This window comes from Homo sapiens, chromosome 20 (assembly GCF_000001405.40).
Source record: "Homo sapiens chromosome 20, GRCh38.p14 Primary Assembly".
Lineage (NCBI taxonomy): Eukaryota > Metazoa > Chordata > Mammalia > Primates > Hominidae > Homo > Homo sapiens.
Window position 1 is genome coordinate 5,175,561 of NC_000020.11, and position 24,096 is coordinate 5,199,656.

At 45.6% G+C, this 24,096-nt stretch overlaps 1 protein-coding gene across 2 annotated transcripts in view, besides 4 other annotated features; it reads left to right on the plus strand.

Moving 5' to 3' along the window:
- Positions 1–22,327, plus strand: part of CDS2 (CDP-diacylglycerol synthase 2) — a 70,880-nt gene extending 48,553 nt beyond the window's left edge. Inside the window, exons 4-13 of one of the 2 annotated variants that reach the window (NM_003818.4) lie at positions 1,088–1,185; positions 3,257–3,396; positions 6,827–6,885; positions 7,501–7,583; positions 9,298–9,385; positions 10,198–10,266; positions 11,127–11,279; positions 13,507–13,626; positions 14,175–14,278; positions 14,542–22,327. In NM_003818.4, the coding sequence (NP_003809.1) occupies positions 1,088–1,185; positions 3,257–3,396; positions 6,827–6,885; positions 7,501–7,583; positions 9,298–9,385; positions 10,198–10,266; positions 11,127–11,279; positions 13,507–13,626; positions 14,175–14,278; positions 14,542–14,674 (1,047 nt within the window). In that variant the 3' untranslated portion in view covers positions 14,675–22,327. Of the gene's footprint in view, positions 1–1,087; positions 1,186–3,256; positions 3,397–6,826; positions 6,886–7,500; positions 7,584–9,297; positions 9,386–10,197; positions 10,267–11,126; positions 11,300–13,506; positions 13,627–14,174; positions 14,279–14,541 lie in introns of those variants that run through there. The other variant, XM_006723660.3, reaches the window with a different exon arrangement.
- Positions 101–736: an enhancer, noted in NCBI's record as "NANOG-H3K27ac hESC enhancer chr20:5156307-5156942 (GRCh37/hg19 assembly coordinates)". NCBI's record gives its function as "activates a minimal SCP1, AML or CMV promoter by ChIP-STARR-seq in naive and primed H9 embryonic stem cells {active_cell/tissue: H9 hESC(naive and primed)}" and the evidence as "EXISTENCE:reporter gene assay evidence [ECO:0000049][PMID:30033119]".
- Positions 14,990–15,059: a silencer, noted in NCBI's record as "silent region_12655". NCBI's record gives its function as "represses an Ori minimal core promoter by ATAC-STARR-seq in GM12878 lymphoblastoid cells {active_cell/tissue: GM12878}" and the evidence as "EXISTENCE:reporter gene assay evidence [ECO:0000049][PMID:35858748]".
- Positions 16,628–16,717: an enhancer, noted in NCBI's record as "active region_17516". NCBI's record gives its function as "activates an Ori minimal core promoter by ATAC-STARR-seq in GM12878 lymphoblastoid cells {active_cell/tissue: GM12878}" and the evidence as "EXISTENCE:reporter gene assay evidence [ECO:0000049][PMID:35858748]".
- Positions 17,491–17,540: an enhancer, noted in NCBI's record as "active region_17517". NCBI's record gives its function as "activates an Ori minimal core promoter by ATAC-STARR-seq in GM12878 lymphoblastoid cells {active_cell/tissue: GM12878}" and the evidence as "EXISTENCE:reporter gene assay evidence [ECO:0000049][PMID:35858748]".
- Positions 22,328–24,096: the final 1,769 nt, after the last annotated feature.

Below are 24,096 nucleotides of genomic sequence, written 5' to 3' on the forward strand. Positions count from 1 at the left end.
GCGGATCACGAGGTCAGGAGTTTGAGACCAGCCTGACCAACATGGTGAAACCCTGTCTCTACTAAAAATACAAAAATTAGCCACGCGTGGTGGCACGCGCCTGTAATCCCAGCTACTCAGGGGGCTGAGGCAGGAGAATCCCTTGAACCTGGGAGGCAGAGGTTGCAGTGAGCCGAGATCATGCCACTGCACTCCAGCCTGGGTGACAGAGTGAGACTCCATCTCAAAACAAACAAACAAACAAACAAAACTGACTTTATTATTCCAACTCTGTAAACTTTTACCCTGGGCATGTCTCTATATGACTCCTGGTTTCGTTTCCTGTTTTCCTGGGGCCTCCCTTCTGGGCTTAGAGCTTTTGTTAAGGAAATCCCAGTCCACAGAGCTGCTCTGTCTGTCTTCCCACTGTCCTGGACAGGGTCAGGTGACCATCAGCTGCATGTGAGCAAAGCATTTGACTTTGAATACTTGAGACTTTTCAAGTATTCAGAGTCAAAAGGAGAATGGATTGGTTGAATCCTGGGAGGTTCTAGAATAAAAAGTTAAAAAGGAGGTTTTAGAATAAAGTTAATTGAGGGTCAGGCATGGCGGCTCACGCCTATAATCCCAGCACTTTGAGAGGCCAAGGCGGGAGGATCACTTGAGCCCAGGAGTTCGAGACCAGCCTGGGAAAGAAGGTGAAACCTCGTCTCTACTTAAAAAAAAAATCCTTTTGGCTGGGTGCGGTGGCTCACGCCTGTAATCCTAGCACTTTTGGAGGCTGAGGCAGGTGGATTGCTTGAGCCCAGGAGTTCAAGACCAGCCTGGGCAACACGGTGAAACCCTGTCTTAAAAAAAAAAAAGTTAATTGAAACATCAGGGTGTGTATTTTATTGTGAGTGGAAAATTGGATCTACTCCCTGTGACATAGAGGGCTGCATTGCTCTGTGGGATGGTATGAGAGAGGAAGAAGGAGGGAAGCAGAACCACTGGAGGCCCGATATTTTTCTTAAGTATAATGGGTTTTCTGGAAGGCTCATGACCTGTTGGTTTCCATTTCCAAAAATCATAAGAATTGGGGTGTCAGTGAATGTTTTGTGTCCCGCAGGTGATGTGCGTTCAGATTAAGTGTTTCCATGAGATAATCACTATTGGCTACAACGTCTACCACTCATATGATCTGCCCTGGTTCAGGACGCTCAGCTGGTAAGCTCTCCGGCCCCACAGAGGCTTTTAGAATTTGGATGATGTGCTTTGTGGCAGGTACTTACAGTGACGGTGGGTATTTCTATCACTTGCTATAGAGATAAATGCTGGAGAGGCAGTTATCATGTTAGGTCATACAAAGTTTCATGAAGAAAATGGTATTTGAGCAATAAGTGAAGAAATGGGTAAGAGAATGTTAGGAGAATGTTAAGAGAAAGTTAAGAGAAAAAGGCAGGAGAAAAGAGGTGATTGCCACAGACTCGCACAGTGCCTTTGAGACCTGAGTATTTCATAGGCCAGACTGTGTGGTTGGCCTTGCAGGAGTCTTATAGTTACTTGAAGTCTGGAATCTTCCTGAGAAGAAACCAGATGGGCTGCATTCTGTGACTGTGTTTGCCTCGCTATTTGGATTCCTTAAACTCTGCATGATGATCCCGTTTTTCTAGATCAGTATATTTTTCATGCCGTCATATCTCAGCATCCCACTAGAGTTGTCTGGAAGTTGTTAGGTTCTGCTGCCGGCTTTGCTTGTTATCCTTGGAACTTGGTTTCCTTATCTCTAAGACAGATGGTTGAGACTTACTGGTTTCCAGACTGTGGTGTTTGAGCCCTACTTCATCAGAGGTGTTTTGAGTGCCAGAGTGGGCAGGAGTGAGGCTGAATGCATGGGATCTGGGCTCCGCTGGGAAAGTTGGCTTTCTCCGTTTCCTGGGAAAGGATTCAGCTTTCTTAAAGCAAAAAGAAAAACCTGTAACACATGTCTGAGACCCCTTTCTGATCTGAAACTCTGCTTTATTGGCCGTAGTATTCTCAGGTGGTGACTTTTGAGCAGAGCACTGCACCATGCTGAGAGGACCTGGGGCAAATGTGGACCTTCTCACCCCACTGTGCAGGGATACAGGGGTTGAAGCCATGACTTAGCCGGCTGGAGAGCAGTGGTTTTTGCCCCAGCAACCTGGTCACTGTCAAGGAAGCCGATGTGCTCAGATGTAGGCTGGGCACCCCCTTCCTGAGGTGTTTCCTGTCACCCAACAGACAGGCTGCCTCCCAGCCTCCAGATGGAATTGGGATTGCCACCTGGCTTAAGATGCAGGTCCCTTTTGTGGCTGTTCTTTAGCTGGAAAGCAGTGTTTTGCATTTTGTTAACATACTCAGGAGGCCTGACTCCTGGCTGTGGTCACTTTACAAAGAAAGTTTTTTCCATGTAACAGAAAAGAAACCCAATATGGGAGTTTTTGTACTTCATAATTTAAAAAAAAGAATGGGAAAGAAAAGCTCTCCACTTTCTTCTCTATCTCAGGATCCTTGCTGGGGGTTTGCAGTGATGGCTGCATGGTGCCATACTCAGCAGTACTGTGGAGGCTGCAAGGGATGGCTTCTCTTCTCATGAACGCCAGTTGAGGAGAGAGAATACACAAGTGAAGAGTTAACGCTAATGGAAGGTCTGTTTGTCAGAGCCAGGCTTCAGAGAGGCAGATGCATCATTAATTGCTTAGTCAGATAATCACATATTACTTGCTATAGAAATAAATGCAGGGGAGGCAGATGTCATGTTAGGTCATGCAAAGTTTTATGAATAAAATGGCATTTGAGCAAGGAGTGAAGAAATGGAGAAGCAAAGAGAATGTCAGGAGCAGGAAAAAGGCAGGAGAACAGCAGACAGGTGTGGCAAAGCCGGAAGAAACCATTTTGATAGGAGTGAAGGAGTTCCTGTTGGGAAGAGTGGAAACGAGACTGGGGAAGCAGGATGAGGCGTGTTTTTGAAGGTCATATGGTTCAAGGATCCCTCAGTTAGGTATGGGAATGCTACAAAAGGGGCAAAAACGGAGTCTCAAGTTTGGGAGAAATGGAGAGTGAATGAAAGCTGCTGTCTGTTTCTAGATAAATTTCTCACCTACGGTGTCACCAGAGAGCAGGAAACCATGGTCTGCCTGTTGCTCTGTGAGCTGTCCCGGGGGACTCAAGGGTGGGGGGTATTCTGCTGCCCTCTGTCCCTTCCTCTGGGATGTCTGACTGCCTTGCTGTGAAGGCAAGGGTGCTCCCCACGGCAATGACCTGTCTTCATTTACAGGTACTTTCTCCTGTGTGTAAACTATTTCTTCTATGGTGAGACAGTGACGGATTACTTCTTCACCCTGGTCCAGAGAGAAGAGCCTTTGCGGATTCTCAGTAAATACCACCGGTTCATTTCCTTTACTCTCTATCTAATAGGTATGCATTAAGCAGTTCACCATTTCTTGTGTCTGTATTGTTTTTGTATGTCTGTCAGGTAGGAATTGGGGAATTTCTTGGTTAGTATACAGTTTTGTGACATTAACTGTGACCATGCAGGGGAGCAGAGCTGATGCTCTATGTTAAGCTGTAGCAGCTGTTACCTTTTTTTTTTTTTTTTTTGAGCCAGGGTCTCACTCTGTCACCCAGGCCAGAGTGCAGTGGCACCATCTCGGCTGACTGCAACCTCCACCTCCCAAGTTGAAGCGATCCTCCCACCTCAGGTCCCGAAGTAGCTGGGACTACAGGTGCCTGCTACCATGCCCAGCTAATTTTTGTATTTTTAGTAGAGACCGAGTTTCGCCATGTTGGCCAGGCTGGTTCCGAACTCCCGAGTTTAACTTATCCGCCTGCCTTGGCCTCCCAAAGTGCTGGGATTACAGGTGTGAGCCACCACGCCCGGCCTTGTAGGAGCTCTTTTAAGAGAAGCAGAGTGTAGGGGCAGGACTGTGGCCTGTGCCACCTGCCCCTGTGTTTCAGCCACCATTGAGGAACAGCACAGCATGGTCCTGTCCTGACTCTCCTGTTGGCAAAGATTCTGCAGTGGGACCGAAACAAAAATCATCTAGGAACTTACCATCTTTAGGGGAGTCATTTTAGGAGACCGCCTTGGGTGACATTGTAGCATGGTGGAAATTTTACTGGATTTGGGCGTAGACTCTGCAACCTCAGGGGGAGCTAGGAACATAATATTTCTGAGTCTCAGCTCTTTTGTAATCTAGAGCTAAAACTGCAGGGTTACTGTGAGGATTAAATCAAATACATTAAAACTTCACAAACATTAAAGCGTTATATTAGTATACATTCAGGTAAGGCCACGTACTAATTCTAATAATGCTGATGGTTTTTCATAGCTACCTTCAAAGCTAGTTTGAGGTGCACGAAAAATTTGTTCTGACCTCAATGTCAATCTGACCTATTTTTGATCAGCTTGATAGCAATACTTCTGTGAATGACACCTGACTATTAAAATATAAAATCTGCAAAGGGGTCTGCTGCCATTGAGGATATTCAGAGAGTATGCTGCAGACCCCGAAAGCAGCCTTCCACAGTGGGAGGTAAGGGGTCTGGAAAAGCGACATGCTTATTTCTGGGCAGAACTGCTTTTGAGGATCTCCGCATGTTTATGGATAAAGGTTCCTTTCCTTCCTGGAGAAGGGGTCTGCGGACATGTTGTGCTACCATCTAGGTCACTGTGAGAGAGATAAAAAGGTGGTCTTGACCCTATACCATGTGGATCCCTCTTCTCCCAGCCCTATGAATACTAGGACAGGTATTGGCAAACTTTTTTTTTTTTTTTAAGGGGAAGCAAGTTTATTAAGAAAGTAAAGGAATAAAAGAATGGCCCTTAGAGCAGCCCCGAGGGCTGCTGGTTGCCCATTTTTATGGTTATTTCTTGATTATATGCTAAACAAAGGGTGGATTATTCATGTTTCCTTTTTTTAGATCATATAGGGTAATTTCCTGATGTTGCCATGGCATTTGTAAACTGCCATGTCACTGATTGGAGTGTAGCAATTAGGACAAGCAGAGGTCATTCTCATTGCTATCTTGATTTTGGAGGGGTTTGGCCAGCTTCTTTACTGCAGTTGTTTTCTCAGCAAGGTCTTTATGACCTGTATCTTGTGTGACCTCCTATCTCATCCTGTGACTTAGAATACCTAACCGTCTGGGAATGCAGACCCTGTAGATCTCAGCCTCATTTTACCCAGCTCCTATTCAGGATGGAGTTGCTCTAGCTCAAATGCCTCTGACATTTCCCCCATCACTTTTATAAGAGAACCCTTAATCCTAAGGGTTGCAGAGGGACGAAGATCCATCCTCTGTAACTTCTTCAGGCTGATTAGGGGCAATGATATTCCTGCCTACCTATCGAGGTCTCTTGTATTCAGGGTAGAGAGGAGCTCAGTCAGAAAGTGTCAGTATGGTTAGGGCTATTCACAGCTCGGACACAAAGTGATATCTGGAAGATTTTGTAAGTGTTTAAGAGAACATTGAGTAAGCTTATCCTGCATTCCTACACAAATAGTACAACTATTCCATATCAGTAAAGCAAAATAAGCAAAACTATCCCAAGTAAACTAAAGAAGGCTTTCCATGAACTGGGTAATTGTTGGAACCAAGCTGATACGGGGTCGGTAGCTGATTGCAATATGTTCCCAGAATTAGAATACTGATTCAGATTTTTACATCACCAATCCCTCTTGTTTCTTCTGAGCTGCAGCCAGAGATCACTGGTTGGTTCACAGGAACAAGCAGTCTAAATTGCAGAAAAAAACCAAAGTCAGCCAATCAGTGCTGCAGTCTATTTCCTTTGGGTTGGGGGTCTCCTCAGTATTGTCCCTTTGGGGTTCACCAGAAAGATGTTACCAGAAAGGGGTCCAGACCCGGACCCCAAGAGAGTGTTATTGGATCTCATACAAGAAGGAGTTTGGGGCGAGTCTGTGGAGGAAAGTGAAAGCAAGTCTATTAAGAAAGTAAAGGAATAAAAGAATTGCTACTCTGTAGGCACAACAGGCAGCAAACTTTTTATTAAAGTTCCAAACAGTAAATATTTTAGGCTTTGGGGACCATAGGGTCTCTTGCAGTTACAGTCATGCATCGTTTAACCATGGGCTATGTTCTCGGAAATGCATTGTTGTCATTTTGTCATTGTGCAAACATTGTAGAGTGTACTTATGCAGACCTAGATGGTATAGCCTCCTACACACCTAGGCTATAATGTGTAGTCTATTTCTCTTAGAGTACAAACCTGTACAGCATGTTACCTTACTAAATAAATACTGTAGGCAATTATAACACAATGGTAAGTATTTGTGTATCTAAACATAGAAAAGGTACTATATGGTAATTAGTAAATCTTATGGTATTATAATCTATGGGTATTATAACCTTAGGGAACTGTTGTTGTGTATGTGGTGTGTTGTTGACGAGAACCTCGTTGTTCAGAGCATGACTGTACTCAGTTCTGCTGAGTTGTAGCTTGAAAGCAGCCATAGACAATATGTAAACAAATGGACATAACTGTGTTTGAATAAAACTTTATTTATAAAAACAAGCAGCTGGCCTGACCACTGTTTGCTGGCCCATGTTCTAGGAATAAAACATTCCTATCTGATGAACCATGTTCTAAGTTTAGTGTGGTCTGCATGATTATAAAATATTGCCTTCCTTTTACTGTTTGGGAGGAGTTATTTTTTCCTTGTGACTGTTTATCTGGGTAATGTTTTTCTCCCCTGGGCTTTGACATTGTGCACTGGTTAGCTGCTGGGAATAAATTAGCCAAAGAACCACTTAACATAGCTAAAGGAGGGCAAAGATAAATGCAGAACATAATTCATTTTTCTTTTCTCCTCCCACCTCAAACTAGGATTCTGCATGTTTGTACTGAGTCTGGTCAAGAAGCATTATCGACTGCAGTTCTACATGGTAAAGGAAATGCATGCGTGTGTGTCAGAATTCTTGATTTAAATGAAGTTTTTCAGGAACTCAACAAGCCTTTCATGCTTTCTGTGACAAATCAAAACTCAGGAACATGGTCTGATATGTATGCATCTAGAGCATGAAGGAAGAATGCCCATTTAGGTTTAATGGCTCTACGTTGACTTAGACCCAGTCACTGTTACTTACACCTTAAGCAGCCTCTCCACTAGGACCCTGAGGTGGGCTCCAGAGAAGGCACAAGCTGAAGCTTCAGACACTGCCCACAGATGTCCTGTCTGGTACATCACTTGCTACCACTTATTCCCTGACTCACTAGAGAACAGCTCCTCTCTGAGTGCTCCAGGTGCTCAATAACTACTAAGAAAATGAAAAATACCCAGGCTTTCAGAGCATGGGAGAGCTCACTCACTAGTGGGCTGTGGGGGACAAAGTATTACTCTCAGAAGCCTGATCTTACCTGTTCACTTTCAATAAGTCAGATACAAAAGCAGATATTTTTCCTACCTGCTTCTCAGCAGTTTTCTATTTGGTATTGATTGTTCTTTGAAGTTACTTTCAAGGTAAACTGGTAAGTAGTGTTTATTTTTCTTTTTTTTGCAGTTTGGCTGGACCCATGTGACATTGCTGATTGTTGTAACACAGTCACATCTTGTTATCCACAACCTATTTGAAGGAATGATCTGGTGAGAATTGGGAGTTGGATTTTCCCTTTTATTTTGTGAGTGTTTCTCGTGTACAGATACCCCCCTCTAAGCCAGTGGCCCTCACCTTGAGCCACATCAGAATCCTCTGCAGGGTTCATTATAGCACAGATTGCTGGACCCCACCCCTGACTTTTTGATTCATTAGATCTGGGGTAGGCTTGAGAATTTGAATTTCTAGTACATTCCTGGGTGGTGCTTATATTGCTGGACAGGACCTATGCTCTGAGAACCACTGTTCTAGACTAATAGGTACAGGAATATTTAAAGACTCAAAGACAATGCAACATGTATGGCAACAGATTTGAAAACCTAGAGGAAATATTCATGATTTCCTGACAAAATATATACTAAAAGTCATGAAGAAGAAAACGTGAATAGATCAGTAACTGTAAATGAGCTTTGAAAATTATGTAAGATTCCATATCTGGAAAGAGAAACAGGACCAAATGGGTTAACAGCTGAGTTTTATCTAACCTTTATACCAAAGCCAATGAGGAGAGAGAAGCAGGAATGATAAACCCATTTCTGCTACGATTATAGATAAATCATTCTAAATAAAATACTAGCAAATAGAATCTGGCAGTGTGTCAAGGGAATAATATGCAAATACCGAGTGGATTTTATTCCAAAAATGCAGTGGTTTCATGTATCAGCATTGATAGAAATCACTGGCCAACTGAAGCAGCTAGGTGATCTTAGTGAAAAGGTTAAAGGGCGGGCGCGGTGGCTCACGCCTGTAACCCAACACTTTTGGAGGCCAAGGTAGGCGGATCACGAGGTCAGGAGTTGAAGACCGGCCTGGGCAACATAGTGAAATCCCCGTCTCTACTAAAAATACAAAAAAATAGCTGGTGTGGTGGCGTGGCAGGTGCCTGTAATCCTAGCTATTCCGGAGGCTGAGGCAGGAGAATCACTTAACCTGGGGGTGGAGGTTGCAGTGAGCCGAGATTGTGTCACTGCACTCCAGCCTGGGCAACAGAGACTCTGTCTCAAAAACAAAAACAGAAACAAACAAACAAACCTGTAATCAAAGAACTTTTTAAAAAGTGTCAGTGTCAGGGAGTGGAGGGTGAGGAGAGAGAGAACAAGTGTGGAAACCACCTCTTTCATAGTGAGGATGACTGGATCAGCAGGGGAGTGGGCAGAGGGGAAATCTAGCTGTGCGTGTTGGGGTTTCACACTCAAATACAGTCCTGGGGAAAGATAGGGCCAACTAGAGCTAGTAATAAACAGCAAGAAAAGTCAGTAAATAATGAAAGAGTCATTAAAGCATACTATTTAGAATTGGGGAGGTAACCACTAGAAAAATAAAAATTAGAAACGATTAGAAGTGGTTATTTTTGGGAATGGAGATAGGGATGGGAGAAAGAAGGAAAACTTTTTGTTCCTTTTACAATTAAATTTCTCTCATTGTTTACGTATATTTCTTTATCATGAAAAAAGGACAGATGACCTTTTAGTTTGCAACCTCCACTTATTCAGTAGTCATTCAGTAAACACTTGAATATGTACTCTGTGCTAGGTACTAGGTATGACTTTTTTGGTATTTTTTATGTTTTTAACTTACTCCTTAATGGGTTACCAGAATTTTATGGGTGATTTTGGTGCTGGAATTTAAGAATGGCACTATTTTGTGTACTTTTGAGGTACTGTCACCTTGCTTGAGTTGATCCTTACTTTGGTTCATTTCTAGGTTCATTGTCCCCATATCTTGTGTGATCTGTAATGACATCATGGCCTATATGTTTGGCTTTTTCTTTGGTCGGACCCCACTCATCAAGGTAAATGGATTACCCTAATGTGAAATACCACTGTGAGGGGAGGGTGGTGCTCTCAATGTGAGTAGATCAGCCTGGCAGACAGAAGAAATCTAGCTGTGTTGTATTGTGGCCATGTCTTCATGTCTTCCTGGAGAAAGGCCAAAGGAAAACACTGACAACTGATTAAAAAAAAAAAAAGATAATAAAGAAAATAGGCTGGGCGTGGTGGGTCATGCCTGTAATCCTAGCACTATGGGATGCTGAGGCAGGAGGATTGCTTGAGGCCAGGTGTTCAAAAGCAGCCTGGGGAACTTAGTGAGGCCTTGCCTTTACTAAAACATTTAAAAATTAGCCAGGCATGGTGGTAGCATGCACCTGTAGTCCCAGCTCCTTGGGAGGCTGAGATGGGAGGATCTCTTGAGCCCAGGAGGTTGAGGCTTCAAGGAGCTGTGATAGTGCCACTATACTCCAGCCTGGGTGATGGGGCAAGATCGTGTCTTGAAAAAAGAAAGGAAAATATTTTTACAGATTTATATAATCTTTTTTGGGGACACATTTTTTGGGACTTTGATCTGGATTTGAGTGTAGTCACTTAATTAGTATATCGTTTTCTAATATAAAACTATTCGAATGACTGATTGAAACAGAAAGGGAACCAAAGGGAGGAGGATATAAGATAGGGAACAAGGAAACCATATTTGGGGGAGCTTTAAAAGGTGACATGGTTAAGAGAATGGGGTTTTATGAAAGAAAGGTTCTTAACAAGTAATCATTGTTCGCAAAGCTATAGTTATCAAAACACCCTTTGCTGAGAACTTGCTCTCTGTCCACAGCTGTCCCCGAAGAAGACCTGGGAAGGCTTCATTGGGGGCTTCTTTGCTACTGTGGTGTTTGGCCTTCTGGTAGGTGGTGGCTTTCAGCTGTGTAAGGGATTGGGTGGACAGAGGCCTCATACCACCTTCCAAGGCCTGTCCAGAGCTGGAGAGTGTCTTTGGAGGCCAGGACTGTCCTGCTGAATGGCAACCTTGCCCTGAAGAGGGCCACTGGCCATGCCAGCCATCCACCAGCTTTCAGGCAGGGTGCTAGCAGTTGGAGAGCACCTTCTATGCCCTCTCGCGCCCAGGCATGGTGACATCAGCAGGTAGCCTTCTTGTCAGGCATTTGATGTTCCAAGGTCAGGGTGAGTGCACCCAAGGGAAGATGAGATACACAGCTTTTCTCCTATGTGTGCCTTGCCCAGAGGTGGGTGATTTTCCTGCCCTTTCCAGAGCACCATTCTCTGCTTCTGACCCTTGGGCCAGTCCTCCTTCTTCAGCACTGTCTGGCTGCCCTTCAGTGCTCACCGCCCAGCTTTGTTGCTTTCCAGCCTTGTTCCTCCTGAGATCTGCCTCTCACTGTGCCCCTTCCCCATGGCCTCTCTCCAGTTATCACTGACTTCAGAGATCTTGAGGAAAGTGGTCCTAGCTCCCCAAATGGGGAGAGTCTTCTTGTAGTTCTTTGCCCCAGTCCCTTCAGGTTTTCCCGGATTCTTTCGGGGCCTGGGTGTTTGGGTTCCTGTATGTAACCTTGGTGGGTCATGAGCCTCTTTTTTTTTTTTTAATTGAGGTAAAATATGTATGGTAAAACATGAACCTCTGAGCACATAGCTCGCAGTTAGCAGGGTACTAGGCACCCTCAGGAACATGGCCAAACCAGGTGCCTGTGTCTGGGCTGGATGGTTGGAACTTACTTCCTTGCCGGTCTCTCTGTTATTCCTCCTCAGCTGTCCTATGTGATGTCCGGGTACAGATGCTTTGTCTGCCCTGTGGAGTACAACAATGACACCAACAGCTTCACTGTGGACTGTGAGCCCTCGGACCTGTTTCGCCTGCAGGAGTACAACATTCCTGGGGTGATCCAGTCAGTCATTGGCTGGGTATGTGCCACTCACAGGGGGTGAGCGGCCTCCATGGACAGTGGCTACAAAGAGAGATCCCCCTCCATCACCTGCCCTCTGAAAAAAGCTAGCTTCCTCCTTCCCAAAGCTGTAAGCCCCAGGATGAAGGAGAATTGCTCACGCCAGGTCAGGGTATGGGCAGGACAGCTTTCCCCCAACATCAGATTGTTTAGACCAGTGGTTTTCAAAGTGTGTTCTGTGGATCCCTGGAGGGCCCTGGGATCCTTTTAGTTGCGGGGGTAGGGTGGGGGGGTCTGTGAGGTCACAACTGTTTCATAATTAGACTATGACATTATTTTCCTTTTTCAATGTGTTGACATTTGCTGTGATACGGCGCAAAAGCAGCAGTGGTTAAAACTGCGTTAAGGCAGTGGGTTCCTCATGCCACACACTCACAGTACAAACAGGCCAGTTCTAATGAATGTCTATGAAATAGTAAAGTTACTAATTTTGTTAAATCTTGACCTTTGTACACACACCTTTTTAACACTCTCTACTGAAATGGAAAGTATGTGTAAAACATTTCTGCTAAGTACTGTAGTACAGTGCTTGCCTAAAGGGAAAGCATGTGTGCAGTTGTTTGAGTTGTGAGCTAAATTAGCTGCTTTTTTTTTAGAAAAGAAAGTAAATTTTACTTGGAAAGAACCAACAAATTATAATTTTTCAGACTTGGGTATTTGGCAGACATTTTTCTTGAAAAGGATGAAGTGAGCCTATCACTTTAAAGAAAACAACTGAGGCTAGGCACAGTGGCTCACACCTGAAATCCCAGCACTTTGGAAGGCCGAGGCAGGCAGATCTCTTGAGGTCAGGAGTTCCAGACCAGCCTGGGTAACATGGCGAAACCCCGTCTTTACTAAAAATACAAAAAAATATAGCTGGGGATGGTGGCGTGTGCCTGTAATCCCAGCTACCAGCTACTCAGGAGGTTGAGTTGCTTGAACCCAGGAGGCGGAGGATGCAGTGAGCCAAGATCGCACCACTGCACTCCAGCCTGGGTGACAGAGTGAGACTGTCTCAAAAAAAAAAAAAAAAAGAAAAGAAAAATGACTGACAGTAATTGTTACCAAGGATAAAATTTGGCTTTCAAATGAAAATTAGAATTTTGGAAAGCTTAACCTGCCACTGTGAACTTGACAGCTTCCTAATACTTAAAAGCCTTTTCTGATGAGGTCTGTGATGATTCTTAACGTACGTGTGTGTGTGTGTGTGTGTGTGTGTTGATCACATGAGAAAAAACACAAACATATTTGACACGGTATAATGAAATGTGTCTACATTTGGAAGATTTACATAACTCAGTGAACCATTATTTTCTAAATGGCTGATGCATGGTGTTATATAGTCATGCATGGGTAAAAGATCCGTTCAAGTATAAGATAGACCAATGGATTTTAATGTAAGAGAGAACAAAGTCCATTGATAGAATTCTAGATTCCATATCACACCTAATATTCAAGAAATGACTACTTGTCAAGCTCTGGTGTAGTGTCAGAGAATACCCAAAACCATCTGAGGCTACGACTAAAATACTCTTTTCAACTATGTATCTGCGTACGGCTGGATTTTCTTTATATACTTCCACCAAAACAGCATGTTGCAACAGATTGAATGCAGAATATTTTAATGTTTTCCATTAACTTAGATATTAGAAATTTACAAAATGGGAAAAATTCACTCCTCTTATTGATTTAAAACCTACATGTATATAATTAGTTTCATAAAGAGTTACGAGGTTGGATGTCTTGGTCTGTCTAGTGTTGATAGAACACTTGGGGCTGGGTAATTTACAAAGAAAAGAGGTTTACTTAGCTTCTTTCTGCAGGCTGAGAAGTGTGAGAAGTGTGGCATTGGCTGCTGCCTGGCTTCTGGTGAGGGCTTTTTATGCTGCATTGTAACATGGCGGAGAAGGTCAAAGGTGGAAGCAGACACATGCAAAGAGGCAAAACCAGGGGCTTCATCACTTCATAACAACCCATTCCCTCGGGATGCCAGTGCTAATCTAGTCTCTTGACAGAACTCACTACTAGGAGAAAGGCACCAAGCCATTCATGAGGGATTTGCCCCTGTGACCCAAACACCTCCCACTAGGCATCACCTCCCAGTGAGGCCACAATGAGGATCAAATTTCAACATGAGTTGACAACTCAAACCGTAACACTGGGCATGTATGCACCTAAACTTTTACTTCATTTACTCTTCTCAGAAAACGGTCCGGATGTACCCCTTCCAGATTCACAGCATCGCTCTCTCCACCTTTGCCTCGCTCATTGGCCCCTTTGGAGGATTCTTCGCAAGTGGATTCAAACGAGCCTTTAAAATCAAAGTAGGAAAACCGTCTTACGTTCCTCTCATCTCACTCCCTCACCCATCTTCTGCCTTTCTCCCCCTTCCCTGCCCCCTCCAAAATACTAGGCTGTACACCCTGGCATTTAATGTGTGATCTTGACCCATGCACTGAATTTAGGTGAGTTAATTAATAACAATATTTTCAGGAAAATGCAATCGTTGTTTTTCAGTTTATTTGTTAATATATCTTTCTTCAAAAGAACATTTTGGGCCAGGCAGTGGCTCATGTCTGTAACCCCAGCACTTTAAGAGGCCAAGGCGGGAGGATCACTTGAGGCTAGGAGTTAGAAAGTAGCCTGAGCAACATAGCAAGACTCCTGTCTTTATTAAGTAAATGAAATAAGAACATTTTGTAATGCAATAAAATTGTGTCCTAATATAGCCTCACCATTAGATTTCATACTTCTCACCTTCTATTGCCCTCAGCTACTCAGCACAGAAGCCTGACATTGGGGTGGGACCATTAGGCTGGGATTGGTTAGTGGCTGAGCCCAAGTTCACCCATCCTTCCCCTGCCTCTAACAGGACTTTGCCAATACCATTCCTGGCCATGGAGGCATCATGGATCGCTTTGACTGCCAGTATCTGATGGCCACCTTTGTCAATGTATACATCGCCAGTTTTATCAGGTATAGTACCTTTCCATCTGAACCAAGTTGGTGGATTTTTAAGTACGGTGCAATTCTAGAATTTTAGCGGCATCTAAGTTCCAGTGAAAAGCATCCCAAATAATGCAGTTTTCAGTTGTTTCTGCTTACAGATTTTCTGAGGCCTCCTGTCATCTGTTAATAGATAACTCTCTGATCCAGAGATCAGAGCAGCCACTCAGATAATCAGGCCCTGGAAGCTTCCGGGCCCTAGCTCAGTGCTGTTTCTTCACATTCTGTTCCAGAGGCCCTAACCCAAGCAAACTGATTCAGCAGTTCCTGACTTTACGGCCAGATCAGCAGCTCCACATCTTCAACACGCTGCGGTCTCATCTGATCGACAAAGGGATGCTGACATCCACCACAGAGGACGAGTAGGGGCCACCCAGGGCCAGGAGAACAGGAACAGAACTGAGCAGGGGCAGGTCTCCAAGGCAAGCCCAGCTGGTGTGACTTAGACAATGACGAGGCTTCAACTCACTGTCTTTTTTTTTTTTTTTTGGAGGGTATTTTTTATTTGTGGGTTCAAAAAATCTGTATATACAGTCTATGTGTTTAGAATTTGTGTTGTAAGTAAACTACAGCTTTGAGTTGGAAAGAAGTCACGGGTTGTAAAACCATTTGGATTTTTTTAAAACAAAAGTATTAATAATCTGGAAGACAGTGTTGCCCAGGTCAGGAGTGTTTTCTTGGTGGTTCCAGCCCCCATCAATTGAACTGTTTCTGGGCTCAGTCAGACACAGACATTCATCTGTGTCTGACCAAATCAGGGGACTTCCCCACCTGTGGTGGGAGGCACAGCTTAGATGTTTTGTACACCTGGTCTTTTCTAGAAATCCCTGCTTGGAGCTGCAGAAGGGTTGCCTTCTGTAGGTCGGAGGAATGGAGGCTTACTAACCAGGTAAGCCTTCTATGCATCCACACCAAAATCCTGCAGAATGTAAGTAAGCTCTGCTTTATAAGATGGGTTCACCTTCATCGCAGACTGAAAGTTTCAGTTTTTATTTTTTTCAGAAAGCACGAAAAATTATTTATAATAGTCTGGAGAAAAAACACACTGTAATATTTCAAGTGTATGCAGTAGAATGTACTGTAACTGAGCCCTTTCCCACATGTCTAGGCTCCAATGTCTCCTGTAGGTCCACCTAACTGTGTGTTTTCAGGGACAATGCCATCCATGTTTGTGCTGTAGACTTGCTGCTGCTGAATCCTTTCTGGGGACTTTCTCATCGGGCAGGGAGCAGAGGGCTTCTCGTTCATGCACCCTTTGCCTGAACACCCATGTAGCTGCTGTGTTGTGTATATATTACTCTTAAGAGGAGTGTGTGTGTCTGTGTTTGTTTTAAAAGTCACTTATTTCTTACAGTGATTTCAATTGCACCATGACTTCTTCACTAAAACCACAAAGTCCTGCTTAAAACTATGGAAAACCTAACCTGATTAGAGCCTTGACTATTTTGAAGATTAAATGCACACTTTTTATATAATGTGACCAGTTTAAATGTAGTTTGTATTGTACTGGGGGACCTTTCGTTGTTGTTGTTTGCTTAAACTGTGATTTTTTTTCCCCTCCCTAATTTCAGGGGTGAGATTGACTTTGGGAAGACAGATTAGTTCTTTGTCAGGCCAACAAGTGATGGAGTGCGGGAGAGAGAACTTGGCACCCAAATATATCAAACTATTCCGTGCCGTGGATGTTTTCATTGCCAACGAGGGTGTAATGATTTGCTTCTGCACCTTGGTCTAGTGCTGGTTTGTGGTGTTTTTGTTTGTAAATTAGCCTCACTGCCTCCCTGAAAGTGCACAGTCAGCCCAGGTCTCTAGAGTGTCCAGCAGAGGATGGAGCCCTCGGGATGTTTCAGCTCACACATCCTTGAGTGACTTCCCATATGTGTGTGGGGCTGAAGCGGCTTCTTTCCGCTGAACTTTTATTTCCATTTCAGCCTCGTGGCTTCTCTTATTCAGGTCCAAGGCCCCTTAAAAACAAAACATATTATCGCAAGGGCTTTCATTTCAGTATTGGCTGTGTCACTGGCAGGATGCATCACTCTCCAGGGCCTCTTTTTCGGAGCTACTCCCAATTCCACTCTTCTGTGATTCTGGCTGAGCAAGTTCATGCCGGTAGAGGCTCATTAAGTGAGGTCCTGGGCACCCCCCAAACAGGAAGTGTTTTCAGGCCCTTACATGCTTATCCTTAAGGTGAGTAGGTATCTCAGCAGCACACCCGAACAGTAAAGGTGATCAATAACGAAACTGTAGTTTTCAGATTGAAGAATGAACCTGGATCACCAAACTAGATACCGAAAGGGCTCCTCATTTGTCTCTTTTGTCCCATTGTGGGCATATGGTGGGCTCCTTGAGAGGAGGGAGTCTCAGCTGGGGCCTGGCTGCAGAGACCTGCTCTTGAATAGGGCTGCCTTTGGGATCAGGGAGCCGAGCATACTGGGCAAGGCTCATCATGTTCCTTTGTGGAAGTGGTTACTTGGTGGGGGTGGGGTGGGGAAGGGGGGTCTAGGAAGCCGAAGCTGAGTGCGCACTAGAGCTGCTAGCAGGCAGGCCAGAGGGTCAGCTTGTGTTTTATTTTCTGATTTCTCCTGCATGCTTTCTGGAGATGAGGATTTTTTGTCAGGTAGCTAGGAGAGCACTGCCACCTTGTGTCCATATAGCACAATGTTTCTCTTTCCTATTCACAGACAAGATTCAAGAAACCATTTTTACGTGTGTACATTCAAATCTTCATGAATGGCATCACTTGCTTTAGACCCATTTTTTTTTTATTGGTCAGAAATAAAATGTGACTGCAACTGTGTGCCCTCCCTTGTCGTGAATTCCCTGTTTATCACTTCCATGCATGGTTTTATGCTTCTCATTTGTTTATGTATTCATGAATACTGCATAGTCCTGATTCAGAGACTTTTGCTTTGCTTTCCAACTTGTATCCCTACATTCTCACAACAGCCTTCTTACCTCGGGTGAGAGTCATGAGCACCTTACCAGGCAGGGAGCTTCCCCAGGATAGTGTGGTGGAGTCAGGACTCACTCCATCCTGCACTTTACCCACAGGACACCTGGAGGGTCCCCCAGCCCTGCTTGCTTTTGTGAACGTCGTGTGAGTACACCGAGGTGTTGCAGCTTTCCTTCCCTCTAGCTCAGGAGGCCTGGCCTGAGCCAGGTTGGAGCTTAAATTGCTGTTGGCTCCTGCCTGGTGGAACAAGGGGGTCATAGAAACCAGGGCTGATGGGCACCCCCCAGCCCCTGGGAGCTCTGCTCATGACCGCTCACAGGGTACCGAGTCTTTGCCTTTTGTGTGTGCGCATGCTGCCCTCTTAACTGCTTTTAGTATTCAGAAAGGTTCCATTTATGTTTTACTCCTGAAAGTGAAACCCTCTTAGGCAACTTGTTTCATATTCTGGGCATTTTAGTAGCTACAGTATTTTGCATTTAAAATGTAATTACTCTTAGTATTGTACAGCCCTATAATGTATGAGAACTAGTTTCACATCCTTTGAAACTAATCTCTTTCATTGGGGAGGATACAACTTTTGACTTTACACAGGTGGACTTTGAATCCATTTTTATAGAATTTTTTTCCACTGTAACTTGACCTATATTATGCAAGAAAATCCCAAAAATATGTTTTAAGGGAGACTACACAGACCTTGTGATTTGGTCTGAGCTAGTTGCTGAGTTGACTGGAGCCTTATTTGAATGGATCTTTGAGTTGAGATCTTCACACTGTCAGTGAGCCCTTGGCTCAGCCCTTGTCACCTGTTTGTATGGGGACCATGTTTCCCAAAGCTCAGGTTCATCTCCACTATTGACAGAGTCGGGTAGTGGGAGAGTATAAGTGACTTGAGACAGAGTGTCCTTGCTCAGAAAACTGTGAAGCAGGGGTCTTGTTAGTTACAAAGCCAGTCCTAGTTGCATGTCCAAGGGGGTAGATTTTCATCACCCTACTAAATGTGGTATGTCACTGCTGAAGCCTTTTCCTGTTTTAGTAATATCTTAGGCACTATTGTCTTTTGTCTTCCAGAGTAACATATCTGGGCCCACCTTTCTTGCACACTGTGATTATGTGCTAAGAAAAGGGTGGAGTTGGGAGGACAATTTCACTTGAACAGGTTTCTGTTCTTCTGAGGTCAGGGTGGGGAGGATGTCCAGGTGACTTTTATGGACACATTGCAAGACAGTAAGCCGCGGATGGACTCTCACTTGTGCTTTGGAACACTGGACTCCAAAGAGCAGGTGGAACAAACTCTGGCCTGAAGATGATGGCTAATACTCAGGCAGAGCCCCGTATTCTTCCCTGACTTGGTCAAAACAAACTTCCTTTTCCCTTGATCACCCTGCACGCAGCTGCCCAGCTTCCAGTTTTTAAAGAGATGAACAGCTCTCACTTCCTGACTCAGTTTCTCTTGTTGGGTGGGGGCCTTGTGCCACAACCTGCATGGGGTGCTAGGGTTTAAACCAAGTGGTCACGAAGGATTCTTATCTCAGGGCTCTGCCTGGCCCACCTTCTCTTGGGCCTGGACTCTCCTTATCCACATCCCTGCAGAAGGTGGGCCCTATTCTCAGAAGAGTCCTGGCTGCTGTTGCCATCTGAATGCGCCCTTCCCTTTCAGGTTGACCAGCAGTGGCCTTACCTGGCCTCTCAGGTGGATGGAGGCTGTTCTCATCTGGGGCTGTCTCTTGATTAAGGCTGTCACCTGTTTGTATAGGGACCATGTTTCCCAACGCACTTTGAGTGCAGTTTAGGAGGTATCCTTTGGATGCTGAAGTGTTGGGATTTTGAGGACATGCGGATGATTTATGAGAATAGAGGGGCAGAGTTTGTGAAGTCTAGGGTTTTTTGTCCAGTGGGTTTCAAATTTGTTGGCTGTTTAAAGACCCTGTCTCCTCCCCCACCCTCCCCTTCCTTTTCCCATCAAATGCCTACCTACTGAGGCGCCTTCTCTTTTTATTCTTGAGCCAATGAGATATCAGTGTGTTTATTAATAAGGATTGCAATAGTATAGTGCTTAATATGTGCCAGGCATAGTGCTAAGGGTTTACATACGTTATCCCTTTTAATCCAGAAAACAGCCTTTGATTAGGTATTGTTGTCTCCATTTTATAGATGAGGAAACTGAGGCAGTATGACTGAGGCCGAGAGCAGTGGTTAAGACAGACTTTGGGATCAAATCACCCTAGGTGCGGGCAGGTTTCTAGGCTGCTCTAAGCTTCTACCTTGAAGGCAGTTGGGTCTGATAATAGTACCTTCTTCCTGGGGTGGTTGTGAGGATATAACGAGGTAATGCATGTAAGCATTTAGTACCATGCCTGGCACATAGTAAGCACTCAATAAATGGTAGTTACTTTTGTTGAGCTCAGCTGGTAGTTTGACCTCCGTTGGTGCAATGCCAGAGATGGGATTGTCAGCCACCACACTGCCACCACCCTGCACACAGTCTGGGTCCCTCCGAGAGAAGCACGCCAACCTTAACATCCCCTACAGCATCTTGGTGCTTCACACACCATTTAGGAGGCCACCCTAACGAGGCAAGAGGACATGGGGGTGTGCAGAAGTTCTGTTCTTAGTGAGAATGGCTGGCCTGAGAATCCAGCTCACCTCCTCTGCCCACAGTCTGGACTGCTTGTGGGAAGGCCATCTCCTCCTGTCTGGTGGTACCTCCACTCTGGGCAGGGAGGGCCTGTCTGTGACTCGCTCTGGACCCCACTTCCCGCTCTGGCCAAGGGCTGTCTTCTGTGCACATAGCTCAGGAGCCTGCAGCAGTTCCCTGTATGGGTGGATGTCCTCAGGGGCCAAGAAGAGAAGAATGGGGACAACAGAAACCTGCTTTGTAGGGGATTATGTAGACTAAAAGCCTAGAAGTTCTGCCCACATCCTTATGACGCAGCCAATCTGGAGCTTCATGTTTCCTTCTAAAAGTAGTAACCGGGTAGAAGTGGGTGACCCATTGAGGACACATGATGTGAGGTATTTCTGCCGGATTCTAGGTTAGCAAAGACTCAAATGGGTGACTCATGAATGAAGGGAGAACAGGCACAGGACTTAATGAAAAGAGTTTCTTGAACTTAGTTTTCTGAATGGGGGTGGGGAGTTGGGGCACGTGTGTGTAAGGGGAGGCTGCCTCACTTTGAAGGAATGGTGTTGGCTAACAGGATCCATGAAATTCCTAGGTCAGTTGAATAATAACTGAACTACTGGTTTGACTGTGGATTATTTCCTGGGTATTAGTGGGACCCAACAGCACATTGCTATTAATAGTATGGAAATAATGGTCCCTCTGTTTCATTGAATTGCTGAAGTAATGATAATGCCATGAACCAGGAGAAGATGGTTGTGGGGGTTTCTAGGAAGCAGCTGCTGTGACAGGCCAATCCCAGGCTTGCCCCCGAGCCCTCCTGTCCTTCTGGGTTTGTGTTTGCCTTGCCTGGTGCTTCCTCCCTCATTGTGTTGTTGAATAGACCTAGGCAGCCTTGTATCCATAGAAAGCCTCCACTGCTGGGCCGGGGAGGGGGTTGTGGTAAGGGCCCTCTGGAAATCAAGCAGAGAATGCCTTTGCAGTGGTCTCCCGGGCATTGGGCAGGGCCTAGCCTTTTGCAGCCCCCAGAGGACCTTGCCTGCATAAAGCACTCAGAAGGGTTAGCCACCTGGTGATTTTGTCTCTAGTGAAACTGTGTTTGCCGATAATCATCCACATAGCCACCTCTGTCCTCGCAGTTTGGATGCCTTTTTTTGACACCTGCGCTAGGTTCTTGTATGCTGGCTTTTCTTAAAGGAACAGCAGAGTAGAAAAGAGGTTGAGAATGTTTTCTAGCAGGCAGAATGTGCATACATGTTTTCATGAGTGTCCTTTGGGTGCTGTTTCTTTTAAATCCTCTGTGCACAGGGCTCTGGCCTTTAGTAAACTGTTTTTCTGTCTTACGTCATGCTGACTGGGTGCTAGGGGCTGATTACAAAGGGGAAGAGTTGAACAGACATCAGGGGCCGATGAAACCAAAGGACTAGGAGTCAGGAGAACAAGTCAGGGATTAGGAGACAGCGGTTTGGTTTATTGTTATCCAGCTGGAGGACTCCTAGGGGCAGCAGCAGGAGGAATACCAGGGCCACGGAGGGGCCAGGAGTCTCACAGTGGAGGGCAGACTCTAACAGATGCCAGCTGAACGCTCGCTGGCCCTGGATGTCATACGAGTTGGGGACCAGAAATCTGGGCTCAGAGAACCCGTCCAGGGAGATTTGAAGCCATGGGTTATCTTCTAGAGTTGATACTGATAATATATTTTAATTTTTATTGATGTTTAATACCTTCTGAAACAGGAGGGTAAGATCAGATGGGAAGCCCCTCTGTTGAAGGATCTTGGGAACCTTGGTGGTTTTTTTTTTTTTTTTGGTTTTTTTTTTTTGATCGAGCTGTGGACATCCTTCTTAATTCGATTCTGAGGATTTGTTTAACTAAAAAGTTCCCAAACACAGAAAGGGCCTCCCCACCTGCTTTGGGGAGCTGTCTGTGCTGGGAGTGCCAGGCATCCCATGGGACCCATCACTGCCAGTGTCTGTGCCTCCCAGAGGTCAGCCGTGTCTGCCCTGGCTCTGTCTCCTCTGTGACAGGGCAGAGCATTTCTGGTCAGTTTCTCCATGGTGCCTCCCACCCCTTTGTAAAGTGGATGGACATGATGGAATTCAGTTGTCTCACCCTGATAGCCTGGGTGTTGATATTCACTTTACCCGCACTCAGACACAGGCGACCTTGAAGCAGTTCTCGGTGTGTAGAGTCCACGTGACAGTCCCCACAGCCTCCCCAGATAGCTGTGTGCCTGTGCGCTACTGCTGTGCCATTTTCCCAACTTGGCGTTTCACTAAATGCAGCTGATCTCTCTCTCTGTGCACTCGTGATCCATGTTGAACAATACATGTAGGTTCTTTTTCCACGCAATGTAAGAACATGATATACTGTACGTTGGAAAGCATTTACCTTATTTATATACCTGAATGTTCCTACTACACAAATAAACATATATTAAATTCTAGATCATGTGTGGTTTTCGATGGTGGGGGTGGCGGAAGGCCAGGGGTGTGGACGTTTGGTTGCTTATGTGGAGCCAGCATTATTTCCCAGGATGCTGCTGACCACCGCTTGCTTCTAGAGACTCCCTCTGTCCTTGGCCTTGGCAACCTGCCCCCCCGGCTTTCCTCCTGCCCTTGGTTGCTCCTCCTCGGTCTTCTTTCTGGGTGTCTCTTTTCTGGGCCATCCCTTGGGTGGTGGCATTCTGCCTGAGGCTCTCTTTCGCCCACTGAATTCTCCCCTCTAGGTGTTCCCACCCCCTCCCAGGATCCTGATCACCACACTCATTTCAACACTTCCCAAGTCCATGTCTCTAGCCCAAGTGGGCCTGCATTTCCAGCTGCCTGTGAGGCCTCTCACACAGACTTTGCATGATAAAACCCAAACCTATGACCCATGTCCTGAGTCCTGTGTTCTCTAACTACCCATGTGTTCTGTCACACAAGCCAGTAACTGGAGTGATCTCATCAGTCACCCAAGCCTGCCCGTTCTGCCTTCCAAACATCCTCGGAATCATCCTTACTGCCAGCCTTCTGGGCCAGGCCCCATCTCCTGCCAGGATTTCTAAGGCAGCCTCTAGCCCTCTCCCTACAGCCTGGCCACCTCTCTAATCCATTTCTTGCATGATAGCTGGGATGAGCTCTCTGCTTGGAACCCTTTGGGTCTTGAGGTTAAAGTTCAGACTTGGTAACGAGGCTTCTGGGGCCATCTGTGAGCTGGCCAGTGCCTGACCCACGCATTCGGGCCCTGCCTTCACAGCCACAGCTGCCGCTTGTCCTTCCTTGTTCCAGGTGTGCGCCTGTCCCGGGCCCTGGCGTGGGCCCTCTGCCCAGTTTTTTTCCTTTCCCAGCTCTTCGTCAGCCTGCCTAACTCCTCTTTTCCTAGCAGTTCTCACCGTCAACAGCACTTCCTTGGGGAGGCCTTATGTTGTCTCCTCACTGTGTGTCTCCTGCCCCAGGACAGAAGGGTCTGAACTCCTGGGAGCCAGCAGGCCAGCCTTACCAGGGCAAATGTCTGAGGCCAGTGGGACCTCTAGATTGATTACCTTTTGGACAGGGGCCTCTGCCATTTTCACCCATAGGAAAGCTACTACCATTGGAATTTCCTCAGTGAATTGCTCGCCAACATTCAAGATGCAGAAAAACCCACTGCATTCACTTACTTTCCTAAACCCCACAAAATCTGACTGCAAGCCACCAGTTTCCAAGACTGATGGGAAAACCAACATGAGTCGTTTTCCCTGGCTGCTTTGCTCCCTTTTGTTGCACCAGGAGCCGAGGGCTCACATGTTGCTGAAGTGGTGAGGGTCCCTGGGCTCAACTCCATCTGCTGAAGGCTCTGTTGTCCAGCCCTGTGAAGTCCATAGGAGGCCCTAGGCCAGTGGCGTCAGAGCACCTGTGCAGTTGCCTGCATCTGGCATCCTTCCATATCCAGAGCCCCCCGCACACTGGTCTTGATGATTTCTTTTTTCTCCTCTCTCCTTTCTTTCTTTTTTTTTTTATTATTATACTTTAAGGTACATGTGCACAACGTGCAGGTTTGTTACATATGTATACATGTGCCATGTTGGTGTGCTGCACCCATTAACTCATCATTTAACATTAGGTGTATCTCCTAATGCTTTCCCTCCCCCCTCCCCCACCCCACAACAGGCCCCGGTGTGTGATGTTCCCCTTCCTGTGTCCAAGTGTTCTCATTGTTCAATTCTTACCTGCGTGAGAACATGCGGTGTTT